General features: G+C 61.9%; 1 protein-coding gene across 1 annotated transcript in view, besides 5 other annotated features; it reads right to left on the bottom strand.

The window, feature by feature from the left end:
- RXRA (retinoid X receptor alpha) overlaps positions 1-18335 on the bottom strand; it is a 114131-nt gene that overhangs the window by 91624 nt on the left and 4172 nt on the right. The gene's annotated exons all lie outside the window — the stretch shown is intronic.
- Positions 2626-3197: an enhancer, noted in NCBI's record as "H3K4me1 hESC enhancer chr9:137237611-137238182 (GRCh37/hg19 assembly coordinates)". NCBI's record gives its function as "activates a minimal SCP1, AML or CMV promoter by ChIP-STARR-seq in naive H9 embryonic stem cells {active_cell/tissue: H9 hESC(naive)}" and the evidence as "EXISTENCE:reporter gene assay evidence [ECO:0000049][PMID:30033119]".
- Positions 4471-4615: an enhancer, noted in NCBI's record as "145 bp enhancer 298 fragment used in the MPRA reporter construct; PK_construct_3386". NCBI's record gives its function as "activates an SV40 promoter by MPRA in K562 cells {active_cell/tissue: K562}" and the evidence as "EXISTENCE:reporter gene assay evidence [ECO:0000049][PMID:23512712]".
- Positions 4538-4548: a transcriptional cis regulatory region, noted in NCBI's record as "NFE2L2 motif; enhancer activity is reduced when this motif is scrambled". NCBI's record gives its function as "necessary for full MPRA enhancer 298 activity {active_cell/tissue: K562}" and the evidence as "EXISTENCE:site-directed mutagenesis evidence [ECO:0005528][PMID:23512712]".
- Positions 14359-15025: an enhancer, noted in NCBI's record as "H3K4me1 hESC enhancer chr9:137225783-137226449 (GRCh37/hg19 assembly coordinates)". NCBI's record gives its function as "activates a minimal SCP1, AML or CMV promoter by ChIP-STARR-seq in naive H9 embryonic stem cells {active_cell/tissue: H9 hESC(naive)}" and the evidence as "EXISTENCE:reporter gene assay evidence [ECO:0000049][PMID:30033119]".
- Positions 15026-15692: an enhancer, noted in NCBI's record as "H3K4me1 hESC enhancer chr9:137225116-137225782 (GRCh37/hg19 assembly coordinates)". NCBI's record gives its function as "activates a minimal SCP1, AML or CMV promoter by ChIP-STARR-seq in naive H9 embryonic stem cells {active_cell/tissue: H9 hESC(naive)}" and the evidence as "EXISTENCE:reporter gene assay evidence [ECO:0000049][PMID:30033119]".

The following is an 18335-nucleotide window of genomic DNA, read 5'->3' as shown; positions in this document are numbered from 1 at the left end:
CGCCACGGTTGGCACTCAGGTGGTACAGAGCTGGTGTCCAAAGTAAGGTCCTGCCAAGGTCTGGGGGTCGTGGGTGTTTCAAAGCCACACACACCCAAATTCAGCTCTACCTCAGGGACTGCAACCCCAGGCCCGGTTTCACCCACCTCGACGTCCAGCGTCCGGGAAGTCTTCTGACCACCGAATCCTGCATTGTGCCTGAGGCAGCACATGGCGGACACGTGATGCCTTTGACAGCGGATGGATGGGCAGGTGCCATGCAGCCTAGGACCCCGAGGACAGGGCGTACGTAGGCCGGGAAGCACTGGGCAGGAGCCAGCCCTCCATCGCAGTGCCACAGCAGGGTGGCTGTTCAAGCCTGGATGAACTCAGCCAAGACTCAACCCACGTGTCGGCCACCTGCGTCCCCCGGGATCAGATCAACATTCTGCCCGTGACTGGCCTCCCCATCTGCAGCAGGGGACAAGCAGCCACATGGGCCCTGGGGGACCTCGGGACAAAACTGGGCTACAGGGACCCTCTCAGCCAGCCTGAGCTCAGAGGAGCTGCACCTGGCTCTCACTGCCCTGCATCCTGAAGATCATCGCACCACGATGCCCGCTGCACCAGCAAATGCTGCTCTGTCCTCCTTCTCAAAACCCTGGCTGGTCCTGCCGCCAAAATGTTCCAAGCTCCAACCACAGACCCTGGGGTTTCACCTCCTGGGAGGCTTCCAGGTCTCCCCCAGAGCTCTGGCATTCAATGCACACTGCTCTTGTAACCTGCCAGGGGTCCTGCATGACCTCAATCGCAACTGCCGCGCCTGGCACCCTCGACTCCCCTTGGTGCCTCATGTCCCTAGAAACAGCACCACTGTGCAGGCCCAAACCACATGGTCACCCCAAGCCCTCTCTCCCGGCCTGTTGGCCACAGCTGTAACTGCAACCAGACCCACCGGCTCCTCCATCCCCACAGCCATGGCCATGACCACCTCTGCTTCTGCCTCCTAAGTGGCCACGGACTCCCCTCCTGCCCCTGGGGTCCATCCTCACCGGCAGCCAGGACCCTCACTCAGCACTCACGGCCTCTGAAGGATGCTCACCACTGTCAGGACAGGCCCAGCACCTCTGGCCATGTCCTGCCTGGCTCTGTCACCCACCAGCCCCCTCCTGGCCACCAGACCTCAATGTCCAGCTCTGAACTGACCGCCCCAGCCCCTGCCAGTGAGCCCCACTCTGGGGCCTTTGCACACACCGTTCCCCTGGCCTGAGAGGTCCTTCTCCACCTCCCCACCGGCTGCTCCTTCCCATGCACAAGCCCACCCGCAGCATCCCCCTGGAGGGCTTTCCCTAACCACGCTGGCCAGTGACCCTCCGCATACCTGGAACCTGCCCATCAACGCAGGCCCCTGGCCGTCCTCCCCCAGCCTTGTGCTCCTCCGGACAGGGGTGTGGGGTCACAGCAGGGGCTGGCTCTGACTGACCAGGCCCCCCTCCTGCTCGGCAGAAGCCCGGACACTGCGGCCCCCATCAGGGTGGACGGCACGGTGTCTGCCTCCCAGGCAGATGGAGGAGCTGCGCTGCACTCAGGGCGCAGAGACAAAGGCAGGCTGACCACGAGCACCCGCAATTCATCTTGGTCAACACCGCGGCAGGGCGCGTCATCTGCCCAGCAATTTACATTTTCATTAAATTACACAGGAAAATTAGAAACATTATTACTTCCCTTGGCCCTTTAACCCTTTCTCTACCTGCTCTCCTTATGGCTGCCCCATCCTGCCCACAGATGACAGTGAGGTCCCCACCCCAACCCCACCTGCCTGCCACCCCCATAGTGATGGCAAGGCCTCCATCCCACCCTTGCCCGTCACCTCCACAGGGACAGAGAGGCCACCACCCCACTCCCACCCGCCTGTCACCTCCACAGTGATGGAAAGGCCACCACCCTACTCCCACCTGCCTGCCACCTCCACAGTGACAGCTGGGCCCTCCCCGCAAGGGCCAGGTCCAGGATGTGGTGCCTGGAAGCAGTGCCTCTCAAGCTGCCCCCCACCAGCCTTGCCCTCCCCCTCCGTAAGATGGGAGCAGTGAAGCGCTGGTGGGGTCCCAGCCAGTCCCACCTGTGACTCTTCCAACCCACACTGTCCCGACAAGGGCTCCTCAAGCCCCTGGGCCTCCAGGAGGACCCTCCCTCAGAGGCAGCTCCTTGTCCCACCCTGGGCTTCAGACTCCAGCAGCACACAAGTGCGAGCAGACAGTGGGGTGAAGGTACATGACATCCCCAAAATGGGGGCTCCACCCTTGGGGGCATCCACCCACAGCACCCAGACACACGCTTCTTTCCCCCACTAATGTGAAGCTGGGCAGTGCCAGGACCTAGGGCAGGTCCTGCAGTCCCTGGGCACCCCTAGTCCCCAGAGCCCAGGTCCTGGTCAAGAAGATTAACGAGAGCCCCCAACACGCCCGGGAACGGCCAGCCACTGGCAGGACCTGGTGAGTGCTCAGAAGGAACAAGCAGAACCAGCTGCAAGGACCAGTGGGGGTGAGGCCACGGCAGCTGGGGGTCTGGGGAGGCTCCTGGATGAGCCGACAGCCGAGGGAGACCTGAAGGGGCAACGGCAGAAGGGCATTTGGGGGAGGGGACAGCAAGTGCAAAGCTGTGATGCTTGAAGACATCACATTAGTCAGCACAGCTGGTCCCCAGCAAGCCGCGGGAGGGCAGGGAGGGCAGGGCAAGGATGAACGCCAGGTCCCGGGCTGGGACTCCACCCCTAGGACCACAGCGGAACAGGAGGAACTAAAGAGGAGGGCGGCATGGTCCTGATCAGGTGCTTAGAATGAGCCAGCAGTGGTAGAGCCGAGGGACCCTGCGTGGCCCCCCAATACCACACCACTCTGGGCTGTCAGCCATACCCCGCCTGGACCCCACCCCCCAGAAATGGCCTAGGCTGCTGCCCCGACTCTCAACTGTCCCTATATGAACACCGTAAGACGCACATGTATCAGGAAACACAGGTATAGGAGAGGACCTCCTGAATGGGGAAATCAAGGAGGGCTTCCTGGAGGAGGGGACATCTGGACACAGGAGCAGCCACAGTCCCACCCGGGGGTACCCATTCCATGTTCATCTGTGCCGGGAACTGACACGTGTTTAGTCATGAATGAGCCGGGCCAGAGAGTCAAGACTTTGATTATTTTCACCTTCCCCGTCATGCATTTTGCACTGACAATGGCACGGCTGGGGCTGGGGAGATATAGCAGCAGCTAATTTCAACTTCAGTTGCTCCCTCCTGCCTTGGCTCTTTTTCGGTTCCAGGTTTCACAAGTTCCTATGGAGAATGGAGGCAGGCAGCTGGTGGGACAGCCTCTGCCGGGGCTACCAGCAGCTCCTGGATGAACACCTAGTGGGTGCAGCCAGGCCAGACATGTGATGTCGGCTCCCGCCAGAGCCCCCGTCCTGCCTGTGGCCTTGGTCTCTACTTGATGGAGGCCACCAAGGCCAGGGCTGAGGCTTCTCCAACCCCAAACTCCAGAACCCTCCACGAGGATCCATGCCAGTGCCAGGGTAGGGCCTGAAGTGCAATGAACCAACCAGGTACCCCCACTGCTGACCACCCAAGGGCACACAAAAACCCATCAGGGCTTTGGCCCAAACTTTCCACCTCCTTCCCAGCAGCTACACTTCATGAGCACCTGACAACTGGCCCTCCACAGAGCCAGCACAGCCGTGGGCTGTGCAAATACCAGCTAGAGGGGGATACGTTATCCTCACTAATCCGGTGGGGACCCTGAAGCCCATAACCTCCAGGGCACGTCCACTTTCATTTTCTCAGCCACTGGCAGTGGTCCCAGCAGACCAGGGGCTGCCACAGTCGCTGAGCTGGAGAGAGCTGGAGTCTGGGGTAGAGAAGCCACCCATCCACACTGCAGCTCGAGCACTGGGCCTCGTGATTCTGGCCGCTGTCCCCAGGCACACGGCCCAGGGGTGCAGGAGGCAGAGCCCACTCTGAATGGTTGTCACTGCTCCCCTCCCCAACTCTACATCCGCTGCCCAACTCTGCTGGGTCCACACCAGGCACAGGGCCCGCACAGAGGCTGCGTCCCATCACTACCACCAGTGTGTTGGGACAGGAAGCCCAGTGCCCATAGAGCGTCGAGGGAACCTAAGCTCAGAAAGTCTCCTACGGAAGGCAGCACACAGACAGACACCGGTCAGAGTGGGAAGCTGGTTGCTAAGGGGTATGGTGGTGGGGCCTGCCTGGCTCCTGAGGATGAAGGGGCGTCCGTGGCCAGGCAGCAGTGAGAACTCCACCCTGGGGAGCCACAGAGGGCGCTACGCAGCAGAGAAGCACAGTTCTCAGAGGCCCGGGAGGTGGGGAGGAGAGGGCTCCAGGGCCCAGGGCCTGGGATCCAGCCCCGTCCCAACCTCCTGTTGGGAGCCCCCAGAGAAAGGAACCAAGGACTCCACTTCCACCTTTTTAAGAGGAATCTAAGCCTTGGGCGGGTGCCCAGGGTTGGGGCTTTTGTCAAGAAACCTCCAGTTTCCCCCACCCTGCAGCTGCTGAGTCAGGAGCAAAGGGGCGGGACCCCAATCTCAGCCCCTTCCGGCGGCAAGGGCAGGAAGCTGCACCCCACAAGTCTCTCCAGACACCAGGCTAGATAGACCCCAAGCTGCAAAGCCAGCCCCCTACCCACTCCTCCACCCAGGGAGGAGACACACCACAGCCTCCGCACATGCCGGTGCCAGAGGAGGCTGGGAAAAAGGGAGGCCCAGGGCAGGGTGGGGGCAGACCTGTCCACATTTGTACTGCATGGGCCCTGGCCTGCCAGGTTCCTGGGGCCAGCTTCAAGCGCAGGGAACGCTGGACTCAGGCCTACAAGGATGGAAAAAGAAGGGCAGAGCAGGCACACACGCCAGGCAGAGGCAACGGTTTGAGAGGTGGCACAGAGGTAGGGCCACATAGGGCACGGCCCCCGGGAACCTCAGCAGGACCAGGCCCCATGAGGAAGGGCTGCATCCTGTGGGGAGGGCCTATGGGGAGATGCCCACCCCACTGTGGTAGGGCCACGAGGGCCAATGACCGGCCAGAAGGTGAGAAGACGCCAGAGGAGCCCATCTGCTGACCCAGCCAGCTGGCCCCGCCTTCCGGGAAGAAACACTCTTCCCCACAGTTGCAGAAGATCCTCTGCTTGAAGGAAGAACGCAGGCTCCCTCAGCTCAGTGCCGCGCCCGGCTGGGGACGGGCGGATGGAGGGTTGGTCCCGAGGCCCCCAGGCCCGTGGCAGTCCACCAAGTGCACACGGTCTCTCCTCTGGCCACTGAGCAAGATGGGGACAGGGCAGGGGACGTGACCCCTCAAGCCTATGTCAAGGTTGCACCCAGTGACTGGTCTCGCTTCCTGGCCCCGAGCAATTTCTAGGTCCTAGGATGGTTCCAGAACTAGCTGCCCCTGCAACCACTCCTCCCAAAAAAATGCTTCTTCCCATGAGATACAACACTCATGCCCTCCTCACGTTCCTTTGCCCTACACTGAGCGCCCCCTATTCCAGGGGCTGCAGGATGCTGACGGGCAATCCTGCATGAACCCCCAGAACCCAGAAGAAGAAACTCCTCCTCCCAGCCCTCAAAGACACTGAGGTTCAGAGGCAACCCCAGCCAGGGCCTTCCCTGCTCCCAGGCAAGAACTGAAGGACAGGCCTTACTTCAGTCAACCCTCACAACCACCTGGGCAGCAAGTGCCCTCACCCCACGTCACAGATGAGAAAGTCGACACTCAGAGAGAGAGACACGCTGCCCCAGGTCACACAGCATGTAAAAGGTCTGTGTGGGGCCCTGAACTGTGGGCCGCAGACAGCTTCCCTGGCTCCAGGGCAGGAACCCCCTCCCCACCTCCCAAGGCCAAATGCTCTGGGTCCAAGACACCTCCCAGGGCTGGGCAGGTGAAAATCCCATAATCTGCTGGGGCCTCTCTAGAAGGAGGTCCCCCCACTGCCTAGGCTGCGGGATTGGGTTTCCTGGCCTCTAATCAAAGGATTACCAGACAATCCCCAGCACCCACACGTGCCTGCATCCGCAGTCATGCCACCCACATCACTCACATACAAAGGGAAGGTCACTGTGGTGGTGGCAGGGCCACAGCCACCACCTGCGCTCAACCTGCTGAGCCAGCCAGAGCAGGAAGGGCCAGGAAGGCAGGTAGGCAGCCTCCTCCGCGGCGCTGTCCACTCTCCTATGGGGCCAGGTTCCCCCAAACCCACCAGGTCAGGGCGGCCCACACCAGCCATCTCAGCCCTGGAGACCACACATGGCCCTGTGGGAACCACAGGGGCCTCCTCCCGCAGCCCCGCAGCCCCACCACCTGCCTGGGCTCACAGCAGCTCCCAAGCAGTCCCTTGCCCACAGCTTGCTGTTACCACTCTGCCTGCACCAACCCACTGCCCCCCGCTGATGGCAGGAAGAGGGCGCACAGCACGCCATCCCAAGTGCAAGCCTCTGGGGCCTGACCACCTGGGGGACCCCTGCTCTCTGTGCCTCAGTTTCCTGGCAGGGAAAGGGCAAGGATCGGCCCCTCCATGCCCACAAGCTGTGTGGCCTTGAAGATCGGCTCAGCCTCTCTGAGCCCAGGCCCCCTCTGTAAATGAGGGCAACTCCCTCCCCCAGGGTTCTGGGAGGGCAATGGGCTTGGCACAAGCTGGTACCGGGGCACCTGGTGCACTGTGGCTTGCTAGTCCTCGACCCGGACCCCCGCCCCTGCCCTCACTCTGGCCTGGGATCCACAGTGGGTCCAGGGCTTTCTCCAGCCTGATCTCACAGTTCAGAACTCACTACCCACCAAATGCCAGCACGAGAGCCCCCACCCCGGGCCCAGCAGAGCGCCTTCAGGGAGACGCCTCCTCATTCGGGGTCTTCATGTCCCCCAGCCAGCAACACCCACCACAGGCAGGCTCCAGCTAGCCGGATGCTCTGACAGCCCCTACCCCCAGGGTTGGGCTTCACAGACCCTGGAGCACAGCGGACCCTCAGCAAGTGGGGCCAGGCCAGTAGTGGGCAGAGCCTCAACAAACCCAAGCCCAGCCCTGCCCAGCCAGGCCCCAGGCAGTGACGCTGCCAGTCACGCACCCAGCTCCAAGACCACACCGCCCAGTGCCTCTACCTCCCAAACTCCAACCTCAGGCCAAGACCCAGAGGAGGGGTGGCAACAAACAGTCACACACCAAGACATTCCCCTGCCACCATGCATGCCCCATGGTGCTCCCCATGGAGGGCGGGAAGAGGCCAGCCGCCCTGGAGCTCCCAGAAAGAGAGGAGCTCTGCCACCAGGTGTGTGCCGGCCAAGCTGCGAGCCAGCCCAACCCTGGGCCACCCATGCCCACGCCTCCTCCAAGGTCCTGGCCTGGGCCAGGAAGCCGGGTGGAGACTGGAGGGCGGGGGCCTATCTCACCCAGAGTTGCTAAAAAGAGCCAACGGGGAAGTAAAAATAGGAAATAAAAATAAAATGGCTCCAGCCAGGCCTGGTTGTTTGTGTAGGAAGCAAGGCCCCTCCCCAGCCAGCAGGGAGGGCTCGGCTCCAGGTTCCTCCCAGAGGAGGAATGTCCCCCCACCCTAGCAGCCCCCAGGACTCCAACCACACGCCAGAACCCCAGGCTGGAAGTGGCTCAAAGAAGAGTCCCAAGAATCTGGGTTCAAATCCCGACTCTGCTGTTAACTGGCCACATGATATTGGGCAAGCAGCTGAGCCCCTATCTGTAGCTCGGCCTCCTCATCAGCACTGGGGTGCAGGGAACGAGGGAGCGTGCCATGCTGTGCTGGGCACACACTCCAGGTACCACCACCCACGGCGGGGCCTGCGGTCACAGCTCCAGCCACCCACCTCTCCCTGTCCCCACCAGGACCCTCCCATCTGTGCTCTCACTCCGCCCCAAGGTGGGCCGTCAAGAGGTGAGGGCACGAGGCCAGGGTCAGGAGACAGCCTGGCTGTCAGCTCGCCCCGCTTGCCAGCCATGCCGCTCTCAGACCTCAATTTCCTCATCCACACAATTAGAGGAAGCCTTCCTTCCTCTCCTTTCCTGCGAGGCCTTTCCAGGGTTCACATGAGGCTCATTCGCACCAAAGCGTGTGTGACTGACCCTGGCTTCAGGATTGGCTCAGCTCATTCTCCCAGGGCGCAGAATTCCGCAGAAGACAGGCTCCTTGCTCCCGGAGCTGAGACACCCCAGCTAGAGGGCCAGGGAGGACCGCTTGGGCCACAGCTCACACATCCAATCTACCTGCTCAGCCTGGACGGCATGTGGCTTAGGCACTGCTGGCATTGCTCAAGAAGGCAGCTGCGGGCCGAGGCGTGCATCGAGGCTCATGCACCGAGACCGTCTGCCTGGGTGCCTGCAGAAAGGGATCTGAGTGCTTCGGGTGGTCGGTGATACCTGCCACGCTGTAGGCCAGAGGGCAGGCAGTGAGCCGGTGCCACGTGAGCCCCACTTAGACCAAAACATACTGCTTCAGAGTGCTCCCTGGCACTTCCTAAAGCCCCTCGGCCCTCACTCCTGGCTGGACAATTATCACCCCTGTGACACTTCCTGGGAACTGGCTGAAAGGTCAGTGGGTGGCATCACTGGTCTGCCCCAAACCACCATCCCCACGATGGCCAAAGTCTTTCTAGAACATATATCTGCCTGCAGCCCTCCACAGCCCCCTACAGCTTCTCATTCTCCTGTCCTGGACCCCGAGCCCTCAGGACCCTTAGCTAAGGAGGGAGCCGGACAGCACGGGCAGTGGCCAGTCTCAAACCTGGACCCGCAGGCACAAGCCATCAGAAGGTGTGGGGCACAAGACACACAGAAGCACACACAGGCACACATGCCGACACAGCACGGGCACAGGGAGACACGAGGACACAAGTGCACACGGATACACACTCACACAGGGACAGGGACAGAGGGACACAGACATGGGTGCACACAGATACAGGCTCAGACATGGACACAGATGTGCACAGAGGAACACACATGCACGGGTGCACACAGACAGGCTCACACAAGAGCACAGGCGTGCACACTCACATACACACAGGTTCACACACAGACACACACAGGCTCACACAAGGGCATGGATGTTCACAGACACACACACATGGGCTCACACACACACAGACTCACACACACACACACACAGAGGCTTACACACAGACTCATACACACAGGCTCACACAAGGGCATGGGTGTGCACAGACACACACGGGATCTCACACATAGACACACACACACAGGCTCAAACACACACAGGCACACACACAGAGACACACACACACACAGGCTCACACACACACAGGCACACACACAGACACACGCACAGGCTCACACACACAGAGACTCACACAGAAACACACGCACAGGCTCACACACACAGGCTCACAAAAGGCCATGGGTATGCAGAGACTCACACACACACGGGCTCACACACACACACACACAGACTCACACACACTCACACAAGGGCGTGGGCATGCACACCCACACACAGGCTCACACACAGGCACACACTCACACAGGCATGGCACCCACACACTCTCACACACAGGCTCACGGGCTCACACGCAGACAGAGGCTCACGCGCACAAACCCTGGCTGGAATCCCAGCCACACACATAAGCCCACACAGGCTCACGGGCTCACACGCAGACAGAGGAGGGTCTGGGGAGGACGACGCGCCCCTGAAGGCCAGGCAGGGAGGGAGGAACAGCGCGGGAGGCGCCATGCCAGCCACCTCAGTCCTGGCCTTTCTGCCAAGAGCTCTCCAGGCTGGCCAGAGGGCATGAGAGGGTCCCTACGGACAGGGCACAGGGAGGCAGGGCCCTGAGCCCACGGGGCCAACCCCAGGGGGGGTGACCACCAGCCCTGCCCCGACACCAGGCACACGGCCGGCGACCTAGGTCCGGCTCCAAGTCCCCAGGTCCCTGCCGGTGTGGGCACTGCCAGCGCCAAGCAAGGCATCCACAGCAGGAGGCAGACAGCAGTGGTGACAACAATCGGCTCCTTGTTCTCAGAAAGGCGGCCAGGCAGACCTGAGGGAGGGCAGAGGGGTCAGCAGGGAGGGCAGAACGGCGGCTGTCTCCAGAGTCCTGGAGGGAGGATCTCTGGGCTCTGGGGGACCCTGGAGACTCCCAAGTCCCAACAGAGGCCTGCTCGCTCCCCCAGTCTCACCCGCAAGGCTGGGCACAGTGCAGGGGTCTGGCCCCAGGGCAAGGCTGGGGTGCCGGCTGCAGGGAGAGGGGCACCAGCTGCCCCCTCCGATAATGAGTTCACAGCTTATCAGCCACGTCCAGGCTGCGTGGGATCCGGCAGCCAGCCCCTCCCCTGCCCCCACCAGCAGCCGGCAAGCATCACTGCTTCCTAGGCAGGAGGCCTAACTGTCCACACGCAGGCAGGTCCTGGCCACTGACTGCGGCCAGACGCACGTGGGGACACGCCTCTCCCAGCCAGCAAGAGTGGCAGTGACCTCCCCTGTGACCCCATGGCCTGGGGGATGCCAGCCCAGGTCAGAGGGACCCAGGTGCCACTTGGGCTGGAGGCCCGTCAATCTGGGACCAGAAGTGGCCTGTGTCCTGCAGCCAGGGGCACCCTGACATGAGGAGGCCCTTTCAGCGCCACAGCTGGCATTTGTTCTTTAGAAACCATGTCCCACGGCAGCCACAGGGAGCCAAGAATGAGCCAGCAGGGGTCGAATGCCTGGCGATGGCCGTGCCCCACACACCTGCCCGTGCTACCAGCCAGAGGGAGGCCCAGGGAGGCCCCGGGACAGTGCAGCAGAACCACATGCTTGTCTTCTGTCAGGGCTCCTGACACCTCTGTCCCTCCCTGTGGTCACTGCCCAGCGTTTCCCTCCATGCCCTTCCTGAGCCCTACGTCGTCTGTGGCTGCCGCTGACCGCCCATCTCCCCCGCTGGCCTGGCAGCCCACGAGGGCAAGGACCTGCCTGTCGCATCCTCAGAGCGGCTCTGGACAGAGGGGCCCTCCGTGAGCACTGGGGGCGCAGTCACCCATCTCTCCCCCGCCACCTCTCAGGGCTGGCACGCGGCCACCTGAACTGAACGAAACCCGCCTGTCTCGTTTCTTTTTGGAGAGGTTCAAGTTTTGCATTCTACGTCTGCTCCGAGGACATCCAAGAGTCTCTGGGCGACCCCCCAGAGGGAGGCGCACTGCTGTCTGATGCAAGGGAAGGCAGAGTCAGCGAGCTCTGCCCTGGAAACCTTCGACGACGCAAAGTGAAGACACAGGTGTGAGGACGAGACATTGGCTTTTCCCAGGCCAACTCCTACGCATCCTTCATGACCCAATTCAAAAGCCCCAACTCTCTGCATGCCAGGGTGAGCCGCTAATGCCTCCTCCGTGTCCCTTCTGTCTCCAGTACCTCCTCCCACCACCACGCTCACACACCATCTCCACCCCAGACTGGGGTCAGGGATACCTTACAGGTAAGAGAACTAAGGCCCAAAGAGGGTTAAAACATCTGGTCCAAGGTCATATCCCATCAAGTGGCAGCACTGGGGTCCATCCCAGGCCATCTGACCCCAGAGACCACTACTGCCCGCTTGAGGGCTAAGCCTGGCTCTACTGGGCCTTCCTAGTGGCCAGGAGGAGCCTGATGGATGTGGATGGACGGACGGACAGACAGATGAGCGGACGGACAGACAGCAGGCAGGTGGGAGGCGCTTACTTCCCTCGTGGCTGGCCTTGACCCCCCACACTGCTACAAGTTTCAACAAGACATGCTTACCAGCAAAGGAAGGACCCAGGTCCCCAACAAGGGCAGGCACTGGGGCTGAGCACCCCTCCCTCTCTCGATCTGGGAATCTGAGTTCAAGGACTCCCAGGCTCTGTCCAGCAGCCGGTGGCAGCCACATCTCCAACACGCTGAGCACTGCTGGGGCCTCTCCACAGGCAGGGGCACCCCCCAGCCTTAAGCCTCAGCCTCAGCTCCCACCCAGGGCCCCCAGGGATTCCAGCTGGCCCACAGAGTCCTCGAGGACAGTCCCAGACCCTCCATCTACTCCCACTCCCAGAAACCGACACCGAGCTAGACACACAGGACTTCCCTTCCCTGGAAACTGGACCGGCCTCCAGAACGAGGGGGATTCAAGTCATGGTCACGATTTGAGAAATCAACTTTGCAAGGAACGGGCTCACCCGTCACATTTCTGAACCTGAGGGGCGGAGGGGATCAGTTGGCTGACCACATGAATTCGTGCCACAAACTTCATGAGGCTTATATGGCACCTGGCACTGTGGGCTCCGCAGCCACAAAGATCCAGAGCCAGCTCCGAGCCATGAGAGGGGGTGCCTGGAGCCAGCCCTGTCTTGAAAAAGACTCTGAGGTCTGAGGGCCCCACGGGAAGAGGAGCAGGGCCCATTCAGCGACATCCACCAAGGCTCCGGCCGGCCACAGGGGCACAGCGGCACACTTCCAGCCGTGGACTCTGCCTGGCATCCTTCCTTCTATTTTCCAAATGAGGAAATCAAGACGAAGAGGGAAGAAGGAACGTGCTCCAAGTCACAAAGTCCATGTGGCAGAGAAGACCCGGGCTGTGAGCATGCCATTGCCCAGGCCCACTGTCTGCAGGGGCCTGGAGACCAGCTCTACGTTGCCGCTAAGGGGTGACGCCCCCTGTGATCCCAGCCTCAGGAGAAGGTGGGTCACACAGGACAGAGGGGTGGATGGCTCTGACCTTGTGCCCAGGAGACTGAGGGGAGGGAAGAGGAAGGCCCCACTGCCCTTCCAGTCCTCACCCCTCCACTGGGCCCGGGATGGTGCGGTGGTGCTGCCTGCCAGGCCCGCCTTGCCACTGTCTGTGCCCAGAGTGACCTGGCACCCCTGACGAAGGCCCCGCCTCCCTGCCCTACACCTCGACCTTGATCCTGGGCAGAAAGTCCATGAAGGGGTGGGGTAGGGGCAGCTCCACCGCCTCCCGTGGACTCTGCTCACGGTCAGAGCTGTTTTCCTCCCTCCGGGTGGGGAGAGGGCGAGAAGCCATCCAATAGCCTTGCACTCACACAGGGGGCTCCCGGGCAAATGGCGCCTAAGCTGCCCACAGGGAGAGGCAGGGACCAAGGCAGGACCACAGGGCACTACAGGGACAGACCAAGGGGTATAGGAATAGGTGGTAGGGAAGGGCCCCAGCCGTTCCTCCCAGTAGTGGACACACCCTGGGAGCCAGGGCCCCGAGGTGGGGTACCGCACATGGGCGCCGGTAGGAGTCACACTCCAGACCTGGGCAGGAAGGAGAGGGGACATCAGGCCAGCTGGGGGCGGCCAGGCTGCAGCGAGGCCCACCCCTAGCCTGAGCTCCTCCCAGGGTTAATTATTCCCAGGCCAGCTGACCATAGCCTCATGCTCACAGGGGTCCCCACCAGCACAGACCTGGAAGCCAGCCAGCAAGGGGCAGGCCAGAGGAGCCTGGTCACACAGTCAGACCCTCAGAAACCCTCCAGGGAAGCCCCTACTTACGCCCGCACGGGCATCCCTTCCCCATACCCTTGGCTAGAACCAGATCCCCCTGGAAAGAATCCATCCATTCTCTCTGCCTTGATTCCTTCCCCACTTCCCACCCAACAAACTCCTACTCATCCCTCAAAACCCAACTACATCACCTCCTCTGTGAAGCTTCCCTGACCTCCCCCAGGCAGTTTATGGGTGAGACAACTGAGGCCTAGTGAGGTGAATTTGCTAGCCCAGGGCCATACAGCCTGTGACTCAGAGGGGCGCTCACTCATCGCATGGGGCAGCCTACCTCACCAGTTAGTTTTAGACATGAGAAAATCAGTGAGAGGTGCCTAATGAGGTGGGAGAGGCTACAGAGCCACATGACACTAGGTGGAGGCCTGGCCTCCATCCTGGGGACAATGGGGTGCCATGGAAGGTTCCAGGCAAGGAAGGTCAGTGCCCAAAGAGAGAAGGACTAGCCTGGCCTTGAGTGATAACCGTCATGGGGACTGACCCCACTCATCTGTGGCCCCTACTGCCTCTGCTCTGCCATGCCCCCAGGCCACCTCTTCCCCATTATAAGCTGCACATCCCGAAAGCGCTTCACCACAACATGCCCAGTCCACATCCAGACCCACACCCACCCTGGCTAGCTCAGAGCCCACGGCTTCCTGGACGCCAGCAACCCAGGCCCTACCCCAGCCCAAGTCCTGTCCCCTCAGCTGGGGAGGGCATAGAGCCATTTCCCAGGGAGCTGGTCCCCAGGGTGCCACCCTGACCAATGGCCAACAGCATATCAGAACAAAGCCAGGGTGCCAAGAAGGCAAGGCAGAGGCTTTGACAGCCAGAGGGCCCCAGGGAAACTGAAGCCCACAGAGGGGAAGGGACCTGCCCAGGGCTACACAGCAGCCTGGTCAGAGAGCAGCCCCACCATGTAGAGAGCTGAGTTCGAGGGACGGCTCAGCACACACTGCCACCGCCACAGCCCATGCTATCACTGCGGCAGTCAATGACACTGCTGCCCAATGCCCAGTCCTATTTCTGAGGAGCAAACTGTCACCTTGGTGGCCCTCTGCACACCAGGCCTGGGTTGACAGGAAACCAGGAGCTGGATGCGGCCTGCCAGCCTCTCTCCAAGGTACCAGATACATCCTCCCCAAGCACAGGCACTGAAGCCACTGCTGACAGGCAGGAGAGGTGCTTCTGATCCCACTCTCTAAGTCAAGCGAGTCCTTCCTGCATACCTGTACTGGGTGCTGCAAGGATGCCCTCGCCTCAGAAGGGCCCTGCCCTCAGGAAGCCTGGGAAAAAAGAGGCTGGATGGGTGGCTGGCACGTGGAGAGCTCCCATCCGCCAGGCACCTCCACCAGCAGCGGCCTCAACACCTAACACAGGCGTGGGATCACTCCACGGCCCTCAGGCGGGAGGAAACTGGGCAATAGTCAGGCACAGACCCAGCAGGCTTGCCAGCGGGAGCTGAATGCAGGCTCTGGGCACCAAGTCCAAAGCTGCAGCCCCACCCCAAGCCCTGTACCAAGGGGGCTGCTGGGCACCAAGGATGGCAGGTGGGCTCTGGCTGGGAAGGAAGGCTGAGCCTGCACAGGTGGAGAGGGAAGAGCAGGCAGCGGGAGTCCCGGCAGAGGCACAGGGCTGCCCAGGCCCGAGAGCGCCCGATTCAGAGGGGCTCGGACACAGCAGCTGTTGGGAGCCCACCCCAGCGACTCCAGCCACCTGTGCTGTCACTGCCTGACCTCTGCCCAGGGCCAGTGTGGACACTTAAGCTAAATTGGTCAATTACAGGATACTTAGATCCCTCCCCGGGGCTTCCCAGCCTCACTGCATTCTGGGCTGCAGCACCAGGAAGCCTGTTGAATCAGTAACCTCATTACAGCCGGCGGCCGCACCCGGGGTTGTCTTTGAACTCCGAGGGTTTATCCATGGCGGCTGGAGGATTTACACACGGCCTGGCCCAGGCCCAACTCACTCTCCCCTCCCCTCAGCGCCAGAGGCTCCAGACCCCGCACGCACGGCAGCAGTCTGCGCCGACACCCATCACCCCCAGCCCTGGCCCCGGGTACAGCTGGGGAAACCGAGGCCCAGCTGGAAATTACTATGGCTTAGAGGGCCAACAGAGGTGCGGGGAGGCCAGGCACGGCCTCTGGGTCACCCCAGAGGTAGGACTGTGACCAAGGGCTTCCCGGCATCCCTCACCCCAGCAGGCAGTGCCTGGAAGAGGAGCTGGGGCTGAAGCCTATCATCAAAGACAGATGTGGGCTGTGCAGGACAGACCCCGTGGCAACTTCTCACACAGAGACCCTGAGAGGCTCTGATCCCCTGAAGGACCCCTGAATGTCCCACTCCCCAGCCCCAAAGTCTGGTCCCCTCCATGGTCTCAGCATCCCTGATCCGGCCCCAAGAGGCCCGGCTGCTCTACTCCCCCTGGACGGCCTGCCCCCTACTTCATCCAGAGCCTGGGGAGTGCAGGGGGGGCCGGAGCCAGGGCCAGGGAAAAGGTGCCTCACCCATACCCGTGCCCGGGAAAGACGACCCCCAGGCCAGCCCAGGGACCTGGCCTAAGCCCCCAGGAAGATGCTAGGAATCCTCCCCCCTTCCCAGGCTGCCATGCTGAGGAGCCCAGCCAGGGCAAGGGTGCAAGGCCATTCACAGGGGCCCCAAGGCCCACCTGAAACCAGTGAGCCACCTGGAGAGAGTCACTTCCTCCTTCCAGGCCTTGCCTGGCTGCCTCCAGACCACCCTCTGCACAGCACTGGTGGCCTCATTCCAGCCATGAGCACCACACTGGGATCCCCCAGTCTCCGGGCACCCATGCACCTACGCCCGGCACACAGGCCCTACCCAGCCTCACCTCACACGTGAACCCCCTCCTGGTTCCAGCCCTGCAACCCCACCCTTGCGTCCTCACCCTCTTCACCCCCTCCAGGCCAGACCTTGCTGTCCCTACCTCTGGGCACCCCTCCCCCACCCCTCCTCCACAGGCAGCAGGACCAGGCCAGCACCCAGCGGGCGCTCCCTAAGCCACGTGTGGACAAGCCCACCAGCAATCCCCGCCTCCCCAGCCAGGGTTGTCAAGGCTCTGCCAGGTCACCCTGGGAAGGCTGCGGCGGACGCCTGCATGCATGGGGTGGGCCGCGTGTGCTGGGTTAGGACCTCAGAAAGAACTGTGCCCCTACCCTGCCCTGCCCTGGGACCCGGGGGTCCAATCTCACTCCGTCCACTCCCCCAGGTACCTCAGGAATTTGCTGCAGACAGTGCTGCCCTGGTGGCATGAGGAGGTGGGCAAGCCACAGTTCCAGGCTGGGCCTCTGCTGCTCACCCAACTACAGCTTTCCACCTGGGAGTGGGGACTTCTCCTAGCCACCACCCCAAGCCAAGGACAACCCTGGAGTGAGGATCAAGGGGTCGCCACTCCTTAGAGGGCCTTCAACCAGCACAAGAGGCCAAGATGCCCAGTCCCAGGGCACAGAGCTGGCATGGTGAGACCTCAGCCCTCCACCAGGGTCCCCACTGAACAAAAACCTCACTCACTCGGGCCAAGACCAGCAATGGGGCTCCTGGGAACCAGCATGGGGCATAGACCCAGCCTGGTCGGTGAGCAGCCTCTGAGGATGCTGAGAGGCAGGAGGACCAGGGGCAGCAGAGCCCCCACCCTGGGGACAGGTCCTCCCAGCTGGAGCTCAAGGCGGCCCCCGCCAGTCAAGTGCCGGAGAAAAAGCAGGCCCCACAGCGGGACACAAAGGCTGGCCCACAGACCTCACCCAGGGTTCAGTGTCCCCATCCACTAAGTGGGCTTGTCTCTGTGACACCTCCACAAGGTCCCAAAAATAAAGTCCCTGGCACGCAGCAGGCACCCGCTGCAGCCATCGGCACCTTCGTGGGGGTAGGGTGAGTCCTGGACAAGTTGGGGAGATTTAGAAAAAAAGGAGGCCAACAAACCCAGCAGGGAGCACCATGATCCTTGGGGGACCCCATGAGGCCTGGCTCACTCACGGGCACGCCAGGACACGGGCCAGCGGCCAACAGCGCCAGGTGAGAGCCTGTGACTCTGTGTGTGTGCAACAGTGAGCGTGCACACACCCAAGCCCTGCACGCGGTCCGCACCCGCTCTCCCCACAGCGGCCGGGCCAATTTTCCTTAGCTGCTTTCTGCTCCATTTCACGCTCATTCAGCTGCTGAGCTAGACAATTGCTTTGTAACTCTAGGGCGCAATTTCCCTGTCTGTGAGGCGCTGGGGCACAACTGCTCAGAACATCTCGCACCAGGCTCGGGTGGGTGTGCAAACCGCGGTCCCTCGCCCCACCTGCCTTCTTGGGACTCTGAGGAGGGTCCCTGGAGTGGCACAGGGGCTGGTCCCAAGGACCCAGCAGCAGCGAGCGCTCTCCTGTGGCAGGCCTATATCCACAGAAAGGGCTACCTCAGTGTCCCCGATGTCCTCTATTCCTGAGTCTGTTCCTCTACACCTGACAGCCCCCAGCGACCATCATGGCCTGTTCTGGTCCAGTGCTGGAAACCTGGCCCCACCTGACCCAGGCAGGAGGCACAGAGAGGACCTAGCCACAGGATAGGGGAAACGCCCCACAAACAGACTCCCCAAACTCCCAGCCAGCCTACAACACACCAGGCTGCCTTCTCCAGCATTTGGAAGAGCCAATGAGTATGTCCATTTTTCAGATGGACAGCCAAAGCCCCAAGAGGCCAAAGAGCAGACCAGGCAGGCAGCGAGGACAGAAGGCCCAACCCCAGGTGGCCTGACCACCCGCCCAGCAATGGGACACCACCTGTCAGAACCTCTTCCTGGGAAGGTGCTGATCCCTGCAAAACCACCACCACCTCCATCCTGCAGGTAACAAAGGCCCTGAATGGGA

This window comes from Homo sapiens, chromosome 9 (assembly GCF_000001405.40).
Source record: "Homo sapiens chromosome 9, GRCh38.p14 Primary Assembly".
Taxonomy (NCBI): Eukaryota; Metazoa; Chordata; class Mammalia; order Primates; family Hominidae; genus Homo; species Homo sapiens.
Note: the sequence above shows the minus strand (reverse complement) of the source record. Positions and strands in the feature narration are given on the sequence as shown.